The sequence below is a fragment of the Homo sapiens genome, chromosome 17, assembly GCF_000001405.40.
Source record: "Homo sapiens chromosome 17, GRCh38.p14 Primary Assembly".
Classification (NCBI taxonomy): Eukaryota; Metazoa; Chordata; class Mammalia; order Primates; family Hominidae; genus Homo; species Homo sapiens.
Genome location: NC_000017.11, coordinates 71,169,585 through 71,191,671, shown reverse-complemented (window position 1 = coordinate 71,191,671; position 22,087 = coordinate 71,169,585). Strand labels below are relative to the sequence as shown.

Below are 22,087 nucleotides of genomic sequence, written 5' to 3'. Positions count from 1 at the left end.
AGCCACTTGGAATGATGCTATCAGAAGAAGTAAAAAAATGATCCTGTATTGCACATTTGAAGTAGGATATTAAGTACAGTAAGAGTGAATAAGTTGAGAATACATTTACAATTTAGTTTTGTAAGCAAATGGTGTTCTCATGATAATTTTTGTGGTTCTTTTAATATTTAATTTTACTTTTCACATTTAATTTTTCTTAGTATTGGCGACAAATTGTCATAAGCAGTCAACGTTTTAGTCTGGTCTTTCTTTCTAGCCTTTCCACTGTCTTTTTCTCCATGTCGCTTTGCGAACAGAGGCTGCAGTTTTGAGGGGTTTGGAAAGTTGATGATAATAACCTAGCCGAGGGGATATATATAAAAATAATCCTGGAAAGATGAATGTGCAAAGATGTTTATGACAACCTGATAGTGAAAAATTGGAAATGTTTTAAAGTTGAATTGCTGGAGATATGTCAAATAAATCATAGTACAGTTAAATAGAGCAACACTCTGCAGCTATTTAAAACAGTGAGGTAGAGCAACATGCATAGATATGGGAATGCACTTAAATCACATTTTAATTTAGCATAGGTTTGAGTATTTTTGAAAAAAAAATAACCAAAATGTTTATAGTATCACATTTCCTGGTGGTAGAATTATGAGTGACTACAAAACTGGCCACAAATTCTTCCAATGTGCGTCCTTCTATCAAATATTGGAATCTGTTTCTCTATTCCTTGAATCTGGGTTGCCCAAGTGAATGGGTTTTCCAATAGACTGTTGGCACCAGGGACACAATCAGAGGCTTGAAAAGAGCTTGTACGTTGGAACTTGCCTTCTTGCTTCTCCTGGGAACCCTGCTACTGCCACCATGAGAATGAAGCTGGACAAGCCTAATGGAGAATGAGACACTTATGGACCAGCCACCTCTAAACAGTCCCCAGAAATGGTGCCACCTAACTTCATAGCAGTAGAAAAATCTCTCAAGTGAGTCCAGCCTAAATTTCTGACCTATGGAAAAGCAAGCTAAATAAATAATTGCTATTATTTTAAGCCATAAAATTTTGGGATGGTGTGTTATGCAGGAAAACTAATGAAATGCCTATATGTGTGCATGTGTGTTTGAGTGTTTATGTGCATACACATGTTTCTGAAAGGATATAAACCAAAATGTTAGGAGTATTTTTCCATTATCCTAGGTAGTGAAAATATGGGTAAATTTTACTCTTCTCTATCTGGGCTTTCTACCTCCCTCCTTCAATAATCAGAGTTTACCCATGTGATTAAAAACAAAAAATTTTTTTTTTTTAAGAAAAAAACTAAAATTGGAACAATTGCCTTAGGAAAAGGAAGACTGATTAACATGGGTTTTTTTTAAGTATTTCCAAAATGCTTTTTCTTGATAGTCTTATTATACGCTGGCAGATGTTATTGTTTAAAGCATAGGAAAAAATAGATGCTGAGCCTACAGTAGTGCCAATTAAGTTTCTCTCTATGACTACGTCTCTTTATCTCTTTGCCTTCTTTACAACAATGAGAAAAATAAAAAACTAAGATGCCTAACACAAATGATGTTCTATAAGTGTCGATGCTCATATTTCTCATGCTTTGGTTTTGAACAATCATTTATTAAACATAAAACAAAAGTGAGAAAGAGTGAAAATGAAAAGCAATTTGATGCCTGATGGGCTTGATACCAGAATGATAACATAGGTGACTGGAGAAGGTAATGGAACATGAAGTGATATGGTTTAGATCCGTGTCCCCACCCAAATCCCATGTTCAATCGTAATCCCCTATGTTAGAGGTGGGGCCTGGTAGAAGGTGATTGTATCATGGGGGTGGACCCTTCATGAATGGTTTAGCACCATCCCCTCAGTGCCGTTCTTATGACGGTGAGTGAGTGAGTTCTCATGAGATCTGATTGTTTAAAAGTGTGAGGCACTTCCCCCCTCTCTCTTCCTCCTTCCCCGGCCATGTAAGATACCTGCTTTCCCTTTGCCTTCTGCCATGTTTGTAAGTTTCCTGGGATGCCCCAGAAGCAGAAACCACTATACTTCCTGTACAGCCTGCAGAACCATGAGCCAATTAATCCTCTCTTCTTTCTAAATTACCCAGTCTCAGATATTTCTTTGTATTTAGCAGCGTGAGAATAGACTAATACACTAGGCAATGGGTTAAGTGGTGAAAGAAATTTTCAGAAGCAGAAGGGACACTTGCCAGATAAGAACTGGGTAGACTTCTTTTGCACTGGGCCTTGAAAATGGATGTAAAGCTTATTACACTCATCACATTTTTTAAGGATGAGAGAGAATAAAGAAACCACAATAGAAACTCCAAGTGGCCTACCAGTGAACCACAAATATCTTCTGAGTGAATAAGTATTCACTTTTATACTTTACACAGTCTGATTATGACTGTGTTTTTTAAATTCCCTGAAGATTTGCTATCTCATTCTTCTTGCAAGCTTGATTTGTATCTTGAATGTCCAATTGCTACTTTACAGGCTGGATTATCAGCTCGTTGAGGAATAGTCCCTTCCCAAGGTAATTTTGAACAGATTTCTTCACTTCTGCCTGAACCCTATTTTTGTATTATCCATGAGGCTTAATCTTCAATTTATATAGAATATGTAGACTCTTTCAGAGTTTAGGAATGCACACTTACCAGGTGCAGGAGGCTGAGTCATTTGCAAAAAGATTGAGCCTAACAGAGAACATCCAGTAATTATTGTGTGGATAAGAGCTGAGGGCAAATCTAGCCTGTGCGGTTGGTTTTTCAAATCCTATTCTTAAATCTCACAGTTAACATTTCTACTTCTTATTTTGGTTATTAGGCCAGTATTGGGGGTTGGAGTATAGGTTCATTGAGCCAACTACTGTATGCTGCTCTGCTGGGAACATCTTGAAGATTTCATTGCATATACCTCTTATGTCACGGTGTTTGTTTTTCAAACAATTTGACATTTTAAGCCTTCAGCAGCCTGGAAAGTTTGCCTTCCAGATGCAATTTCTCTGAACGCCAATTTCCATGTGGTCAATTTCTGCCCCCCTTTCAAACTGTGGGACAAATCCAAATCCCTAGCTGACCATGCTGACTGTCTCTGAAATGCAATTGCCTATCAGGGTTTCACCCAGAGACCACCAAAGACAGTTTTCCACAAACTCACCTAGCCAGGCTGGTGGTGTCTAAAGGCTCAGCCAACAGTGAAACCTCACTTATTTTCTTACTGGTACCAAGCCTTTTTATTCCCCCTCAATGTCATATAGGATCCATCTTCGTAGGCTGGCACATCAATCTTTTAGTTCTTGGTTTATTTCTTTTGAACATGGAAAACACTAACTTACCACAAGAAATATCTCCCATGCTGTAGACATTAGGTTTCTGGAATCATATACTTCATGCTGTTGTTGTTGTTGTAATTTTATCATGATTTTCAAAGACATTCTGTTTCCTATACTGCTTGCTAATAAGGGAAATTTAATTCAGAACTAGGTGAACAACGAAGTCAAATTTACTCAGATGCAAAATGGGCATAACATAGTACGTGCTGAAAATGTATAGAGAAAGAAAGTAGGTTATTGGTTGCTTGGAGCTGGAAGTGAGGATGTACCTTGATTATAAAGGTCATGCATGATCTTACCAGGGTGATGAAAATGTTCTAAAACCATATATTATGCTGATGGTTGTACACAGTGCAGTAAATTTGCTAAAATCATTAAGTCGTACATTTAAAATGGGTAAATGTTTAGGTATATACATTATACCTTAATAAAATCATTTCATAAAGGGAAAGTTGTACCTGCATAAGATTCTTTTGATAATTAATCAAAATTGTCTATGGAAAATATCTTCTGGGCTTCAGCAAGTACCCAGTAATCTTAACCAAAATCAGTACCATGTTAATAGCAATAAAAGTCATAAAAGTATTAATAGTCCATAAAAGTCAACTCATTTTCAAGATTCCTCTGGCCCTTTGGCAACTATACGTCACACATGCATACTCACACTTACACATACCTTGACCTGTAGATGTGATTCATTTAGGTGCTCTTGGAGTTTAACTTGTTCTCAGCTGTCATCTCTGTTATCTGCTTTCTTATCACACAGTCTAGCACCAAAAGTCTATTATTGGAATGAAAAGGCTTCAATTTCTTCCTTTTAATCTGTGATGGTTAATATTGTATCAACTTGATTGGACTGAAGGATGCAAAGTATTGTTCCTGGGTGTGTTTGTGAGGGTGTTGTCAAAAAAGATTAACATTTGAGTCAGCGGACTGGGAAACGCAGACCCACCCTCATCAGTCAGGGTGGGCACCATCTAATCAGCTGCCAGTGCTGCGAGGATACAAGCAGGCAGAGGAGCGTGGAAGGACTAGACTGGCTTAGCCTTCCGGCCTCCGTTTTTATCCCGTGCTGGATGCTTCCTGCCCTTGAACATTTGACTCCAAGTTCTTCAACTTGGTCCAAGGGACTCTTGGACCTTCAACCACAGACTGAAGGCTGCACTGTCAGCTTCCCTACTTTTGGGGTTTTGGGACTCAGGCTGTCTTCCTTGGTCCTCAGCTTGCGGATGACCTATTGTGGGACCTCACCTTGTGATCGTCTGAGTCAATACTCCTTAATACACTCCCCTTTAGATATACATCTATCCTATTAGTTCTGTCCCTCTAGAGAACTCTGACTAACACATAAACCAAATCTTATCTCTTCAAGAATTGTGCATGATTTTTGCTAGACTCAGTCACCATTTTACCAACATACTTTAAAAGATGAGCGGCCCCTCTAGGTTATTTTTCTCACACTCAAAGCTTCAAAGATTTTCATAGCTTTAAACTCCACAAATGCGAAAGTGGATTTCTCTTCATTTCACCTATCCCAATGTTTATTAATATTTTTTTCTCCAGAGACCTCAGAATTATCTTTGACTTGTTTCTTGCTCCTGACTTACAGAAAGTCCCACAAACCCATTAAGTTTGCTCTTGAATGACTCTCTGTCTCCCTTTTGACTCCTTCCCCACTCTGTTTTTTTAACATCTTGTGTAAGGGTGATAGTGAGAAGAAAATGCTAATTTCATTGCTCTACCAATTTTGTCTACAATATCCTGATTCCCTTGCCAGATTAATGCTCCTAAATGACAGACTTTTGTCATCTTTCTTCTTCTCATTAACCTTACTTATTCAGTATTGTACTCAATCTACATTTATTAAAAAATGTTAAATCTAAAAACAAAGTCTGAAAACCCTCTTTCTCTCTCTCTCTCTCTCTCTGTGTGTGTGTGTGTGTGTGTGTGTGTGTGTGTGTGTGTGTGTTTGTTAATGTGCAGGTATACAATATTTCATCCCTCCCTCAAAACTCAGAGTTCACCATAGTAAGGTAGAGAACCTGAGACATCTGTGGTAAAGAGACGCTTTACATGCAGTTTCATACAGAATTTATTACGGTGTTTTGAACACAGAATACTTTAAAAGCATCTTCAGAATCATCTTGTGCAGGACTGTAGAGTGAAATATTAGGCTAAAAATTATTATCTAGGCTGGGCACGGTGGCTCATGCCTGTAATCCCAGCACTTTGGGAGGCCGAGGCAAGCAGATCACTTGAGGTCAGGAGTTCAAGACCAGCCTGGTTAACATGGTGAAACCCTGTCTCTACTAAAAATATAAAAATTTTCCAGATCTGGTGGTGGGTGCCTGAAATCCCAGCTGCTTGGGAGGTTGAGGCAAGAGAATCATTTGAACCCAGGAGGTGGAGGTTGCAGTGAGCAGAGATCATGCCACTGCACTCCAGCCTGGGCAACAGAGTGAGACTCCATCTCATACCCCCACGCAAATTATCTAAATATGAGACTCAGTAGGTGAGGAAAATGATTAATTTGACTTTTCTCTATCCCAAAGTGGAAGAATTTTGGTTCACCTCATTCAAATTTGCCCCTGTCCCTAACAGGTTTAAGTCTTTCGCCCTTATTCAGCTTGGTTGCATATTTTTTGGAAGTTTTATTTCCTTCTCATCTTTTGTGTCCTTGAATCATTTCAGGACATTTCCCTGAGGAGGTGGCTATGATGGTAGAACTTACAAGACTTCAGTGGACATAAGGTAAGTATTTTTTCAAATGATTGTTCAAAATTGATTTTTCCAAATGATTGTTCAAAAATGAGCCCAGGTAATCATGCCGGAGTGTGGTAATACAAATACAGAAAATTTCATTTTTGACCAGAGATCCACTCACTTTTTCTAGGTTGGCTACAGATAGCTTAAATTTTAATTAAGTTAAAATTTAACTTAAGTGTCTGCTCTACGCCCATTCATATTATGAAGGTAGCATCAATTGTGTAAATACGTGCAGCCAAGGCCAGGTATTGGCCAGATCACTGATGGAATAAAGTGATATCTCACACTGAAAGCAAGACGTCATTACTACTTAATCTTTCTAGGAAAACAGTGTCACACAAAAACATTTGAATCTATAATTGGCATCTTTAAAGATGCTTGCCATCTGGACCTCACTCGGTTTAATTAGTCATTGCAGGGTGGCGGTTCTCTTGTAAAAACCTTGCACTCCATTAACCTTGACTTTTCACACATTGACATTTCAAGCCCCTTCTTTGCTTTCATATGGTGGAGTGGACACGTTTCCATTTAATAAGAGTCCACCTCGGGATTCATGAGCCAGACGCTTGTTATTTGGCAAGGCCACTCAGCCCAAGTCTATAAATTCTGGCAGCCAGGAAAGGTTTCAGGCAGCTAAAAATGGCAAGAGAGCAGGAGTCATGGGATTCACCCCACCCTTCCTTTAGAGATTTCCAAATAGCATGGTGAGCAAGGATTGAGAAGGGTAGCCGAGAGAAATAACACATAGTAATGAACCTGAATAAAACCTAAGAGTGATTCATGCACTAAGGCAATTTTATTCAGCTGTGGACAGCTACTCCAAGATGGATCATTTAGAAATTTCTGTAGCTGAGACATTTTAGACTAGTATGCCTTTTTTTTTTTTTTTTTTTTTTTTTTTTTACCTTTTAAGTGAAGTACTGTTAAACTTGGGGATAAGGAAATAAGGTTTCCTATATTTCAGGACAGTCTGTAACATTCAATATTGTCCTTCTTATCATTTTTCGATTCCCTTTGGTGATTGATTATTTTCTGCAGGTAGATGTCAGGACAATAACCATGGTTGTTCAATAGAATATCTGTACCTGTTTTACACAGTGTTTTTGTTTGTTCCTTTGTTTTTAGTTGGAAGCTATGTAGTGGAAATGGCCATAAGATATGGTAAGAATGATGTCAAGGTAGTTACAGAAAGATTAACAGTCTTGCCTTTTGTGGTCCAAGGAGAATCTCTATTTGTAGATTGTAAGGGTTCTCTTGGGCCTTATTGAAACGAAAAATGTTTTCTCTTATACTTATCTTCTAACACTTTATTTCTAACATTATTTCTATGTTTTATTACTACATTTTTTCATCATGCCTAGTTATTAAAGCAAGTTATGTCTCTTATAGGACATAGAATTGTTTCTTTACATTTTTCCTTAATTATTTTATTCCTTTAATAACCACTTATTATGCTAGACTTCTGACCATAATCAAAGTTAGAAAATTTAAGTTTTAAATTTTAACTCTATTCACTGAATCCTGTATATGGAATAACATCAATAGAGACAGTTGCCAGTTAGCAATAGTGTGGTAGAAATTAAATTTGCTAAAGTATGCACAGGATACCTTTTTGCAGTAGTTCTCCAGTGTGCATGGTTAAACCTATCAGTATCCCTAAAACATAGCTATCGTGCTGGGCATAGATGCAGCTCTAGCAATAACATATTAACTAACCAGTTGATTAATTAGCTCTAGCTGTGGTAGCCAGTTGGGATATTTTAGAACTGAAATATAAATATACCATGGACCTCCTCAAATAGGCTCCGTGCATTATTTAAATCAAGAGGCTAACTACTGCCATGCACTAATGCAATATGACCACTAAGGCAGTATGTTCCATCTTTATTTTGTGGACATAATGGCCATGCTTGAGTACATTATGAGGTATAAGTACCTGAAGCAGGGTCACCAAGCAGCTAGGGAGAAGCATGTGAGCATTAGGTGGCTTGGAGTATGGACTTCAGTAAAATTGCAATCAAACCCTAAGATTATTAGAAGGTGTTGACACAAAAACCTCTTTACAACTCTTTACAGAGTGTATATTTTTATAGCAGCCGCCTATGAAGGCACTTTACTTTCAGTTTTATACCAGTTATCTATTGTCACAGCAATACTACATAGCAAATCATATCAAATCTGTGTGGCAAAAGAAGATAAGAATTTTCAAAATCGTGAGTCTTGGAGTTGATGGTTTAGTTGGGCTGGACTCACCTGGCTGGATCCCTTGCCTCAGATGGGATCACTTTCATATCTGGCAGTTAAGTGACTGTCAGCCAGGGCTAAGATAGCTACTGGGCCTGTTTGCTCAATCTCTAGCAGGAGAGCCAGGCATGTTTTTATGGCAAAGGTAGAAAAAGTAGAAGTGCACGTGACCTCTTGTGGCCTGGGCTCAGAACTAGTGAACCATCACTTCAATAGCATTCTATTGACTGAAACATGTCACGGATTCAGAGTGAGCAAATAGAATCTATAGACGTCACCTACTTAAAGAAAGAAATTGCAAAGTTACATGGCAAAGGGTGTGGGAACAACATGGAGTAAAGAACTGTGGCTGATAATTATATGTGTTTATTCTTTATCAGAAATACTTTTATCAGAAAATCTTAATTTTCTCCAACTGTAATTGATTAGGATGTCAAGCTACAGGTAGACATATAAGATGTCAAAAATATAGAATTAGAAAACTTATTAAAGAAGTATCTGTAGAGTTGACATACAATTCTGCTCATAGAAAGGGAGAAGAATGCCTTTTCTTAGCTCAATATAGTAAAATCTGTGCCAATTAACAGTAAAATATCAATCAATTTTGGAGATGCCTGGTATCATTTTTAAGAAGAATTGCGAATGTATGCTATGTTAGAACCACGTTCTGGCAGAAGGCTTCCTCTAACCTTGTCCTTTGCTCATTCTCTATTTTTTTTAACATCCTACATTGTTTTCCTTAAAGCAAAGTCCTGGTAGGACAAGTAGAGAAACGATCAATCAGTCAATGGGAAACTGGGATAACTTTTTCTATCAGCCATGAAATATTTTTCAGTGATATAGCTGCAATTTAAAAACTTGAACATGATGCATGAGTTAACCATATTCTAAGTCTTTTATACTAAAGACACCACACCCACTGGAGAAAATAGATTTCAAATATGTGGAGTCTATTGATTATAAACAAGTGAAGTAATGGCAAAATTTTCCTCAGAATAATTTACAAACACACTTTTATGAAATATTTTATAAAACAATGAGAATAAAGTAAATTACCTTCACAAATAGATAAGTAATTGTCCCTGTTTGCCCAGGGCTGAGGGTTTTCAGAAACATGGGACTTTCAGGGCTAAAACTTGAAATGTTTTGGGCAGACTGATCGTCAGTCACCCTATTCACAGTATGACTTTTGGAAGAATAGTTAATAATCTCATATTTTGCATGGGTCAAACAAGTTTGATTAAACTGGGTATTAAAGGTATCTATATATCTTTTGCAAATATAGTAGTTTTATTTCATTTTATATGGACAATTCTAAATTATTCTACTTTACTTTGTTGCCCAAGGTACAAAGTGCAATAGAGCATCTTTTACTTACAGGAATATTGACTAAAGGAATAAAAATAAATACTTTTATAGGTAAATAACAGAAATAAGATGTCATTATCTTTAGTAATTAAAAAACTCAGTCTAACCCATCTATTTTTGTTTTATTCTATGTCAAGTAGGGAAATTGTGCTGAAAGATTTCTAAGATGCTTTTGCTATGATGTTCTATAACTCTAAGCTTATATTAAAATGTATTCTCTATTAGAGGAAAAGGTACTTAAGAATTCAGACTCACTTTTAAAGAGTTAAATAGCACTGCAAAATGTTGCTATTTTAACAGAACATTTTAAACCAACTAAGTGTACTAACTACTGTTATTGTTTATTTTCTTTCTAGTCTAGAGATTTTTTTTTCATTTTAATCTGCCAGAAGGGACCTTCAGGATTTGAGCCTTAACATTGTTCCTAAGACTTGAATTTATTTTTTAATTAGGGTTAAAATAAAAATAAATGTTCACTTTCTAGAGCTATGCAAGTTTGGGGAAAAAAAGAAACTTCCTCATCTGAAAAGATTTAATGGTAATCTATGCTGTAAAAGAGCATTTTGAAAAATATAAAACAAAGAGCTTTCAAAGTGGTCAAAGGCTAATGTAAAGTGATATATTTCAGACCGGAGAGATGGTGTAACTTACTCCTGTCACTGCTGCCTGTTTATTGTGTTTGTCTGGTTGGCCTGGCAACCAGCTCATGCCATTTCACTCATTTTATAACGTTCCTGTAAATGTTAGGTAGGCCTGGATTTATTATACACTGTCAACACCTAAAATGGAACCCACTGCTTAACGTAGTTTATTTGGCTGGATGCCCCTGCCTCCTTGAAAAAAAATGGTGTGTGTGTGTGCGTGCGTGTGTGTGTGTTAAAAAAAAAAATCTGTAGTGCCTCCAAAAGAAATGTAGCCCAGGCAAAATTGAAGTTGGGTGGCATGGGCTGTGTCAAATGAGCACTTGAGCCCAGGAGCCGTTGTGTTGTTGGCTGGGAACATCTGACTCACAATATTTGTGTCTTGGGTTTACAGGGACAGAGGACCAAAGCCATGTTTATTGCTGAATTTATCATCCCCAAAGAAACCAGATGGCAATCACTGTTGTCCAGAAAGGCCTCTGAGCCATTGGAGGGTGAATCATAAGACTATTAGAAGTTGGACAGATTTCTCTTCTTCTTATTAACATGCTAGTTTCTTCTACTTTATGACAAGGCAGTTTTGATGGAGGCTCAAGAGATACAGTCCTGGAAAGGCTGCATTTCGGATAGCCTTAATTAACTTTATATAAGCTATTGAGATGATAGCTGGAGCATTAAGGCAGAACCGATAGGAAGCACCAATCTGATTCAGAAATATTAAAGTGAAATGTGGTCCTCAAGCCAAAACCAGTGACGGCTGACTCAGCCCAGCAATGATGAAAATCACAGACAGGTACCTCTGTTGCTTTGCTCTTGGTCAATCACACATTGAATTAGTGTCCTATTCATTTATTACCCTGCAGGCAGAAGGGGTTCGCTGTTAGCTAGAGTGGACATTTGTTGATAGCTCTGTTCAGTACAAGGGAACAAGTCATTGAATTTTATAATCTTTTTGGCTACCTAGGATCAATATGGTCATTCAGTCTATTCCCCTGTCACTGTGCATTTTAAACAGGATGATTGTGTGTCTAAGTCAAATCGAAGGTTTGATGGAAATTGTGACACCCTCTTGTTAGGCTTTGCTTGAGGTAATAGTTTTCCAATTTCCTTCCTAGTTGTGCATCTGATCATTATTTAAACATCAGAACAAATGAAAAAGATTCTAAGGAGAAAAATTACCACAAGCATTCAGGCAATTTGAAACCAAAGCTGTTCCAGGTAATTGTTTATTTTTATTAGTTGAATAATTATTCTGACATTGCTCAATATAGTTTGAGATTATAAATCATCTTTTAGAAGAACAGCTTAAAGCTGATTATATCAATTGTTTAAACTGCATTTTACTCCCATCCCCACATCCAGCTTACATGTTTTATGAATTAAATAGTGAAGGCAAGTTTTTCCTATAAAAGAACATTTTTCCCTCTAATCTCCAGTCTCCAAACCTAATGAACGTGGCATAAACTTTCTGAAGGAAAATTGGAAAATTTGTGTTTAGAGCTCAAAAGAGTATATGTGCCCTTTGACCCAAGACAAATAGACTTCAGGGAATTATCTTAAGGAAAAAATAATAATGTGTGTATGTCTCATATGTGTGATATATGTATGTATGTATTTGTAATATATGAATCTATTTTATTATTCCATATGTCAAGTAGGTTTTTCAAAGTATTAATTACCTTAGACATATATAGAGAGATTTTTCTTTTTACTTATTCATATGACGTGTGATACTAAGTTTTTACTATAAGTCTAGTTTAAATTATTGGGATATACCTTGCTTGTTCATGGTCATTGGTTATTTTCATGAGGATGTAAATCTTTGGCATTTGTTTTCACTAATGTATCCCATAACCCAGAATGGTAGCTCATAGTACGTGCTCAATGAACATTTGCTGAATGTGTGAATATTGACTGAATTTACAAGAAATGCCCATTCATGAATGGATAAAATATCATCCTGTATAAAGTGAATTTTTTTATAGGTCATACATAGTTCGATCACATAAATTTCTATTGTAAAATTCAAAAGTTTTGTTTTGCTTTATTTGACCATATTGGTCTTGCAGCTGTTTTTTGTTTGTTTGTTTCTTTCTTTCTTTCTTTTTGAGATGGAGTCTTGCTCTGTCACCAGGCTGGAGCGCAGTGGCACGATCTCGGCTCACTGCAACCTTCACCTCCTGGGTTCAAGCGATTCTTGTGCCTCAGCCTCCCAAGTAGCTGGGATTACAGGCACACACCACCGTGCCCAGCTAATTTTTTTTTTTTTTTTTTGTCTTTTTAGTGGAGACAGTGTTTCACCATGTTGGCCAGGATGGTCTTGATCACCTGACCTTGCGATCCGCCCGCCTCAGCCTCCCAAAGTGCTGGGATTACAGGCGTGAGCCACCGCACCTGGCCGTGGCTGTTTCTTCTAAATGCTTGGCCCACCATCACCTTTAGTCTCAATGCGTTGTTCCCCGTCTGACTGGGATACTGTACTTCTGGATATCCACATAGTTAACCCACTTCCTTCATTTCTGCATCTTGTCAAGGAAGTCTCCCTTGACCACACTATTTGAAATTGTAAGTTCTTCCACCCAAACCTCCAGGCCTTTCTTACCATCCTCTATTTTTTCCATACAATGTATCACTTTCAAGGCCTTTATTTAATGGACTTACTAGTTGATTGTTTGCTCTCTATCTGATTTTATTTTATTTTTATATTGCCCACATTGAGAACAGTATGTGGTATATCATAGATGCTTAATAAATATTTACTAAACAAATAAGTTTTGGAAAAAATACTTTAAGTATTGACTGGTACTGTAAAGTATAAGAAAAATGAAAAAGTTCTGTCAACAGAAAACTAGTTTAAATATTGGTTCTAATAGTAACATGACTTTGGACAAATTATTTAAACATTCTCAACCTTGTTTCTCTAATGCCCACAATACAAATAACAATCCTCACTGCATAGAATTCTTGTAAGCATGAAATAAGGTGAATGGATGCCCATCATCCAGTGTAATGTCTTGTGCAGAGAAGACACACAATATATATAAATTAATTTTTACTCAACATGTAATAACATTACATTTAATTCCTTTAAAAATGTCATACTTGGGGCTGGGCGCGGTGGCTCACTCCTGTAATCCCAGCACTTTGGGAGGCCAAGACAGGCGGATTGCCTGAGCTCAGGAGTTCACGACCAGCCTGGGCAACACGGTGAAATCCCGTCTCTTCTAAAATACAAAAAAACTGGGCGTGGCGGTGTGCATCTCTAGTCCCAGCTACTCAGGAGGCTGAGGCAGGAGAATCGCTTGAACCTGGGAGGCAGAGGTTGCAGTGAGCAGAAGTCATACCACGGCACTCCAGCCTGGGCAACAGAGCGAGACTCCATCAAAATAAAAATAAAAAAAAAAGTCATACTTGGAAGAAAAGCATAGCATATAAATTAATAAAAAGTTACAAATGGGAATGTACAGTAATCAGATAAGACATTTTCATACATTAATATGAGAGAAGATCCCTACATATCCTGAGAGATCCATGGAATATGACTGATCCCCATCACACGTTATTGTTTCAAGTATTTGAGGCTAACTGGCTTGTTTTCTCAACCTTAAACAATTCTATGACTTCGAATTTATTTTCCAAGTAATTTTCCCTTTAAGTTATTCACCATTCTGGCCAAACATTACCTGTTTTGTTTGTATCCTTCTAAAAATCATGGACATCAAGGGTCATTTGAATAATCTTGCATGTGCAAAAATTTGAAATCAAGGAATCAATCAAAGTTATAACTCCTTCCCCTTTCCGGGTGGAGATGCAATTTATCCTAAGTACAACAATATTACCGATTCTTTCGGAAAGCTCATAGGATGGCATTGAAAATACGTTCACTTTAAGAAAGAATCTCGGAAGGCTGAGACAGGAGATTCACTTGAACCCAAGAGGCACTGAGCCAAGATCACGCCACTGCACTCCAGCCTGGGAGACAGAGCGATATTCCATCTCATTAAAAAAAAAAAAAAAGAGAGAGAGAGAGAGAATCTCATTACATCCTATCTTATCTGCTGGCCCATTCCATTTTGGTTCTTTGTAATTTCTTCAATAAACATGATAAAGAAATTTCTGCAGCTCTACATTAACGACCACCTATATAATGAGATCAAATCTTAATTCTTGGTGACAAACAGAGTAAACATATGGGTAGTTTGTTTAGGCTTTATTTTGAAATGACTAAATAGCCTGCGAAAACAAAGTTTAACAGGCTCATAAAAGTATGCCGTCTACATAACTAATGTGGACTTTGTTTTTATGTTGCCTATTACAGACTATAAACAGTAACAGTGGAGTCTATCTTTTATTCCACACTGTTGTAAAATATTCTGGCTGTGACAACATATATACTGAACACACTTTGCAAAGATGTTGCATTTATTTTTGTATTTAAATGAAAGCAATACACTTAAAAATGTAAGATACAGATAAACTTACATTTGAAATGTACTGGAAATAAAATAGGAGTTCTAGGTTCATAAATACATTGCTACTATATACGGGAACATTCTTGCACCAAAATTTGCATGTTTCAATTTGCTCTTTAATTGGTCTATACACAGAAAATCTGACAGCACAGTGGCAGGGCAGTGTCAAGGGAGTAGTGACTGCTCCTTTTAAATGACCTCACAATTTGCTCACTGGTTTTGGGTAATTGGAACAATTTGCTTGGAGAAACCTGTGAGGAATCAGATGTTAATTGACTTTGTCTTTCTTAATTATCCCCTCAAAAAAACAGGCCTCATTTTCCTGACTGTTTCTTAAGCTGTGTTCTGTGTCCCGTGATACAGTCAAAAGAAAACACACAGGCAGTTGCCTTGGTATCAACTGGCCAAATCTGATTATGACTCTAACTCTGAATGGAGAGATTCCAGGCATTAGCAGAGGGGTTTTTAAAAAATACTCATAAAAGTGAAATGATACTAAAAAAGTGATTCTATGATTTACTTACAAAGCAGTAAAAAGGTAACACACATTTAAAATCAGGGTTCAAAACATATTCCGGTTCCATTACTGTGATCTGGAACCATTCAAATATAATATCGAGCTCAAGTTATTTGAAAGACCCTTCTGTTTGAGTCTTTTAGATCATGATGTGTATCAGAATTAAGCATGTTTGATATACCTTGTCACTTGACAATAGCTTCCAAATTTCCGCTTTCCCTTTTTGTCCTGCCCCTCTCAAAGCCCAACAAACAGAGTTAAAGACGTTCTACATTGTCTAGAGTCTAGTAGATAGATAGATCACTTATTTTAGGCCAATCCTATAATTAATATTCTTCCTTTTTCCATACCTGTAATGCTACAAACCCAAGAGGTTTGGTGAAGGATGAAGACAGGAGAACAGGGGAAAATATAGACTAGTTTAAATAATACTGTTTTTTATTCTAAAATAAGTAGATTATTTTGCATATATCGGCCAGTATCCCTTATGTAATTTATTTCATGTAATTTTCGTCTTTCTCGTGTGAGACAGTTACTATTTTATCTTTCCCATGTAAATCCCACTTCGGCCACTCAGTAGATCCAAGTCTCGGGGCAGCTGCCTTAGCCTCTCTCTGTCTCAGGTACTTTTAATTCGTATTGTACAGTTAGGTGAATTTACAAATTTCAAGATGTTAAACAACCCTTTCCATTACTAGATTAAATCTAGTTTGATGGTAGTGTGATCTCTGTTATGCAACGTCAGATCCAGCTGGCTAGTACTTTCTTTGAATTTTTGCATCCATGTTCATGAATAAATAACTTTTTCCTTTCTTTTCTCCTTCCTTTACTCTTCTTACATGGCTTTAATATCGAGATTATATGGGATTTGTGGAGTGAGTTGAGATTTAGGCTGTTCTTTGGAAGATTTGAGTAAGAGTGTTATAATCTTCTACTTGAAATTTTGGGAAAATTTACAAAACACTGTTTTCTTGGTATTTTCTTTGTGAGAATATTTTAATATGTACCAATTTTAAAGTCTAATTATAAGGCTTTTCCAGATAGTCTCCTTAAGTACCAATATTTGCAAAATTATCCATTTTATCTAATTCTCAAATTTATTGAAAAAGAGTTGTTGGTTGCATATTCTTTTTAAAATTTCCATTGTATTTATATTTATGCATTATTTCCATTTATAATTATTATTTTTGATTGATCTTGAATTCATACAACAATGTGACAACCTTGTAAGGACCTGATATCCTCCAATTTACATGCTATCAATTTCCTGTGTTTTACTACCACCCTTTAGAAATTACTTATTTTTATAAATGGTAGCATTAGTATTATTGCCTCAAACCAGATACTGTTTGTTTAGATTTAATACATGTTCACCTTTTTAAAAAATATATATTTGTTTTTACATCTTGAATTTCCTCCTAGAAATATTTTTCTTCTCCTTGAAGTATATTTTTAATTTAGTCTATTAGTGGAAAATTTGTTTTCCTATCTGCAAATATTATTATTTTATCCTTGTTTCTTAAAGATGGATTAATTTAGTGGAGTATTCCAGTCTGATGGGTACTTTCTCAATCCGTTTATTTTGAAGATTCCACTGATTTCTGACCTCTATGGTTGCTTTGAAGAAATCTGCTCTTGGGCTAATTCTCTTTTTTTCTCTCTCTCTTTGCCAATTGTGCTACAAATTTACGATTTTAAATTTTGTTTAATTTAGGGAAGCTCATCTATAATTAAGGGTGCATTTTACTTTCCTTCTCTGTTGATTAGTAAGAAACATGCCATTGTTGAATAACAATAAAGAAACAACTTAAACCCCTGTGAAAAAATAATGATTACATGCCTTGTTTAATTTTATATAACTAGATATTAAATATGTATTTAGTATAGTGTATATATACACACATACATATATGTATCTTAACTATTTTTACTATATTTACTTAAGCAAATAAATAGTGGAAATCATAAATAGCTTTAAAATACCTGGTGCTGTGGTGGACGTACTTATTTGGGGGTTTCTGTAGTTTAATATTATGCCCAGAAGAATTTTTAAAAATCGTCACCCTCATGTAATGCTGTATGAACAGGCCATTAAAACACTTTTGAGCCACAGCCAAGTTTTGTGCTACAGGGTTGGGATACTCTGAATAAGTATTTGTGAGTTGGGTGCTTAACTCAATCAAACCTCACCACTTGGTATGGTTGTCCATGACATTCCTCTGCTGTTTATCCAGCATAGTAACTAGTTGTAGAAGTAAGTAAAGAAGGGCATGGAAACTTCGGAGGGAGTTCAAAGAAACAAAATGATGATTAAAGGCTTAGAAAATCAGACCTCTGAGAAAAGCTAAAATGAACTGGGTTTATACAGCCTGAAGAATGAGTAATTGAAGAGATATTTAATAATAGTTCTCAAATTGATCAGGAAACTTAATTAATAATGATGGTGACTGAGAGTCCCCTGCCTCATGAAGCACAGTCAGGGAATATAGCTTGTGAGTTCAGCACGGGGATATCATTTAACCGTAATGAATTGTCTAATGGTAACCATTGTTTAATATGTTAATTAAATTCAAGGCTGGCTCAGAGACCCCCTTTCTGTAGTTTTATGTGAGCCACCATCCCTAATTCCCAAACAGAATAAACTAGGTTTCTCTAGTACTTTGTATATTACCATTATAGCAATAGCTGCAATTCTACAAATACCCCATGAACAATTTAGTGTGGCACATCCTAGAATTTATTTCCTTATCATAAGTGCCTTGCAACCAGAAGATACTTAATAGACTGTTGCTACATTGAGTTGAGTGGATTTGGAATTACTCTACTAGTGTTATAACTACTGCACCCCACATGTCATAGGAGACTGATCCACCGTTTGAAGCTGGAGCTTTACAAAGTCTTCATAAAAGAGTTGGCAATTGGTGGAAAGGCAAATTAGTAAAACCACTAAGAAAAACAGTATGGACATTCCTTAAAAAACTAAAATTAAAACTACCATTCAATCCAGAAATCCCACTACTGGGTGTCTACCCAAAGGAAAAGAAGGCATTATATGAAAAAGACCCATGTACGTGCATATTCATAGCAGCACAGTTCACAATTGCAAAGATATGGAACCAACCTGTATGCCCAACAACTAAGTGGATCAAGAAAATGTGGTATATATACACCATAGAATACTACTCAGCCATCAACAAGAATGAAATAATATCTTTTGCAGCAACTTGGATGGAGCTGGGGGCCATTATTCTAAGCGAAGTAACTCAGGAATGGAAAACTAAGTATTGTATGTTCTCACTTATAAGTAGGAGCTAAGCTATAAAGATGCAAAGGAATAAGAATGATATATTCAACTTCGGGGACTCAGGGGAGGGGGGAAGGTTGGGAGGGGATTGAGGAATAGAAGACTACATATTGGGTACAGTGTACATTGCTTGCATGACAGGTGCACTAAATTCTCAGAGATCACTGCTAAATAACTTACCCATGTAAACAAAAACCACCTGTACCCCCAAAACCATTGAAATGTTTAAAAAAGAGTTGGCATTAAATTGATTCTAAAAGGATGAAATATGATATTTTCTTAAAATTAATGAATAAAAGTTATTGGACTGGCACAGTGGCTCAGCTCTTGGGAAGCTGAGGCGGGCAGATCACCTGAGGTCAGGAGTTTCAGACCAGCCTGACCAACATGGTGAAACCCTGTCTCTACTAAAAATACAAAAAAATAGCCAGGCATGGTGGTGGGCCCCTGTAATCCCAGCTACTCGGGAGATTGTGCCACTGCACGATCCACTCCAGCCTGTGACAGAGTGAGAGTTCATTCAAAAAAAAGTTAATGGAGGGATAGTAAGAGTGGTCAGAGAGAATAGACTGAAAAGTGGACGGGCCTTCCTGGGGATGACCATGTCCACGGAGAAGTAATGGAATATAAGACTGGACAGCAAGGACGTGATTATGAAGAAATGTGTCAGGCTAAGGAGTGCGAATGCTATGATTCTCATGAATGTTTCCCAAAGTATGTATGTTATTTAAAATATTCAATCTGAGAAATGTTAATAATGTTTACATAAATTAAAAAAAAAAACAGGTTTTCGTATTCAACTAATTTGAGACATGAGTGTGTTAAGTAAAATGAAGCAGATTTTTCTATTGGGAGATTTATTCAAGTCATTGTTGTGCTAATGAGCATTGTGAATTTTTTTAAGAGGCTAGGGCAGGCAGTCATTTCAAAATGTATTTAATCACATGACCCTTTGGTTGTTGAACTCACCACCAGCTTGTTTCACATGGATAAACGCAAGGCAGAGACTCTGAAGACAAATAACAATGATCAAAATGATGCTTAAAGAAGGTTGATCTACTGGTGGAATGCAGGGCCACTTGGATGGAAAAAGAGTCCAGTTACAAGGATCCTGCAAATGAACATGCATGAAAGGATAATGGGTTTGAATTAGGGTCTTGCAAAGGACAAGCAAGATAGGCTTGGATGGGAAAGATATATAAAAGGATTGAATAGAGTTAGCAAGTGACTGGGTTAAGCTGTAGGAAGCCAAGAGAATGAAAAATAACTACAAAATTTTGAGCCTGGGTGGCCGGAAGAATGCTGGTACCATTGACAGAAAGAGGGAATCTAGCCAGCGAATACATTTAGTTATGTGTTTGAGGTGATAGCAGGGAATTAACGACAACATTTCACAGACTCACAGGGTCATAAAAGACCTCACAGGGCTTCCAGTTCATTTTCCTGTAGGCTAGTAAGCCCTCGGTTAACTTACCTCAACTGGTCATGGACCTTTTTTACATTATTCTCTGAAAAAACAGGGATTGTACAATATTGCCTTGGGTAAGATTTTGTCATGTCATCTAAACTAACATAATTTTCTGCAATTACTCAAGGTCTTCTGTTTGTTACTTACAGTAATTTCTGCTTTATTCAGGATGAAGAGTTAGTTATTACTTTTCACATATAAACTTTGGATTGAAATTGGAGGCAGTTATAATTTTTCTCTCTTCTCCCTCTTTTTGGAATCATGGAATTTCTCAGTCCTTTCATAAGTTGTCATTGATAGTTGTAGTGATTAAAAACTGAGTCATATAGAGATCATATTATGAATAACATACTAAATAGGCTAATAAATGGAAATCTGTTGGAAACCAACACTGAGAATGTAAGTGCTCCTCTTAGTTCAGGAAATTCACACCATTTCATTAGAGTTTTACAAAAATATATTCCCTATCTTTGTCAATGGTGATCTAGAGACTAAAGGTTTCTAGACAGATTAATAACAGATATCTTTCTCATAAAGTATAGTAATCACAGACATCTAATATACTTAATGATGAGAACTTCTGGGCTCACGTACATAATATATGAAATAATTGTATAATCAATTCATTTTTAAAAAATGTTCTAAGTGTTACTGAACACTAACCACATGAAATAACAATAATAGGATTAAGTAAATTAGATGGTTAAATGTTTTATACCTGCCTACAAGGTTTACTATTTTAAAGTACAACTTTGAATCACATGTGTCCCAAAATTGACTAGAAAGTTTATTGAAACTGGCCAAATTGAAATCGAACACTTAGCATCACCAAAGATAACACATAAAGAAAATGTCAAAGATAGGACTTAATTCCCTACTTGAATATTCAGTCAGTATTTAAGATTTTGAAATAAATCATCATTATAAAATGTGTATACAGTTTGGAGTTGTTTGAAGAAATTATCTTTTTTTTTAATAAAAGGAGGGGACTATCTTAGTAATTTCCATGACTTCAGGGATAGGATTCATAGCCACCTTGGGCCTACACCTAAGGGCACATTTTGCACTTGGAATCTTTTCTGGTCCTCTCTCCTTTCCTTCCTATTGCAGCAATGCTAGATCTGCCAAAGGTAACTAAATTTTATCCAGAACTAGAACCAATAAAAGAGAGCACTGTTGGATGCAGCTGGAGGAATGCTATCTGATATGTCTGTGAGCACATTAAACTTTAGAAACCTAAGAAAGCATCATGCTTCAACTTTCCACCTTTTCTCAATAATGGGTGACCCATGTGTTTAACTGGACTTTGTACCTGGTTTCTGGCTTTTATTGCCTTCCACCTTTGGCCTGAGACCTATTCCTGAAACCTCATCTCATCATTCAAGGTTCTGAAACTCTTGATTGGTGCCCACCATACTCCTTTCTACCAAGGCAATCTGTGTCTTCTATCCTTTTTATCAACTCATAGGGATTGTCTTGGTTTAAAACTTTCATATACCAAACTCAGAAAATCAGTTCAGTAACACAATAGGGTGTCTATAGTTAATAATAATTTATTCTGTATTTTTAAATAACTAAAAGGATGGAATTGGGATGTTCCTAACCCAAAGAAATGATAAATACTTGAGGTGATGGATACTCCAATTTCTCTGATTTGATTATGGCATGTACCCTATAAATACGTAGAATGATTCGTTGTCCATTATAATAATTTTTTTTTTTTTTTTGAGGCAGAGTCCTCGCTCTGTCATCCAGGCTGGAGTGCAGTGGCGTGATCTCAGCTCACTGCAAGCTCCGCCTCCCGGGTTCACGCTATTCTCCTGTCTCTGCCTCCCGAGTAGCTGGGATTACAGGTGCCCGCCACCACACCCAGCTAATTTTTTTGTATTTTTAGTAGAGATGGGGTTTCACTGTGTTAGCCAGGATGGTCTCGATCTCCTGACCTCGTGATCTGCCCACCTTGGCCTCCCAAAGTGCTGGGA

General features: G+C 36.6%; 1 long non-coding RNA gene across 1 annotated transcript in view; it reads left to right on the top strand.

Annotated features, from left to right (window-relative positions):
- Positions 1-22,087, top strand: part of CASC17 (cancer susceptibility 17) — a 104,406-nt gene that overhangs the window by 10,508 nt on the left and 71,811 nt on the right. Inside the window, exon 2 of the long non-coding RNA NR_104152.1 lies at positions 6,017-6,076. This is a non-coding gene — a long non-coding RNA (cancer susceptibility 17). The remainder of the gene's footprint in view (positions 1-6,016; positions 6,077-22,087) is intronic.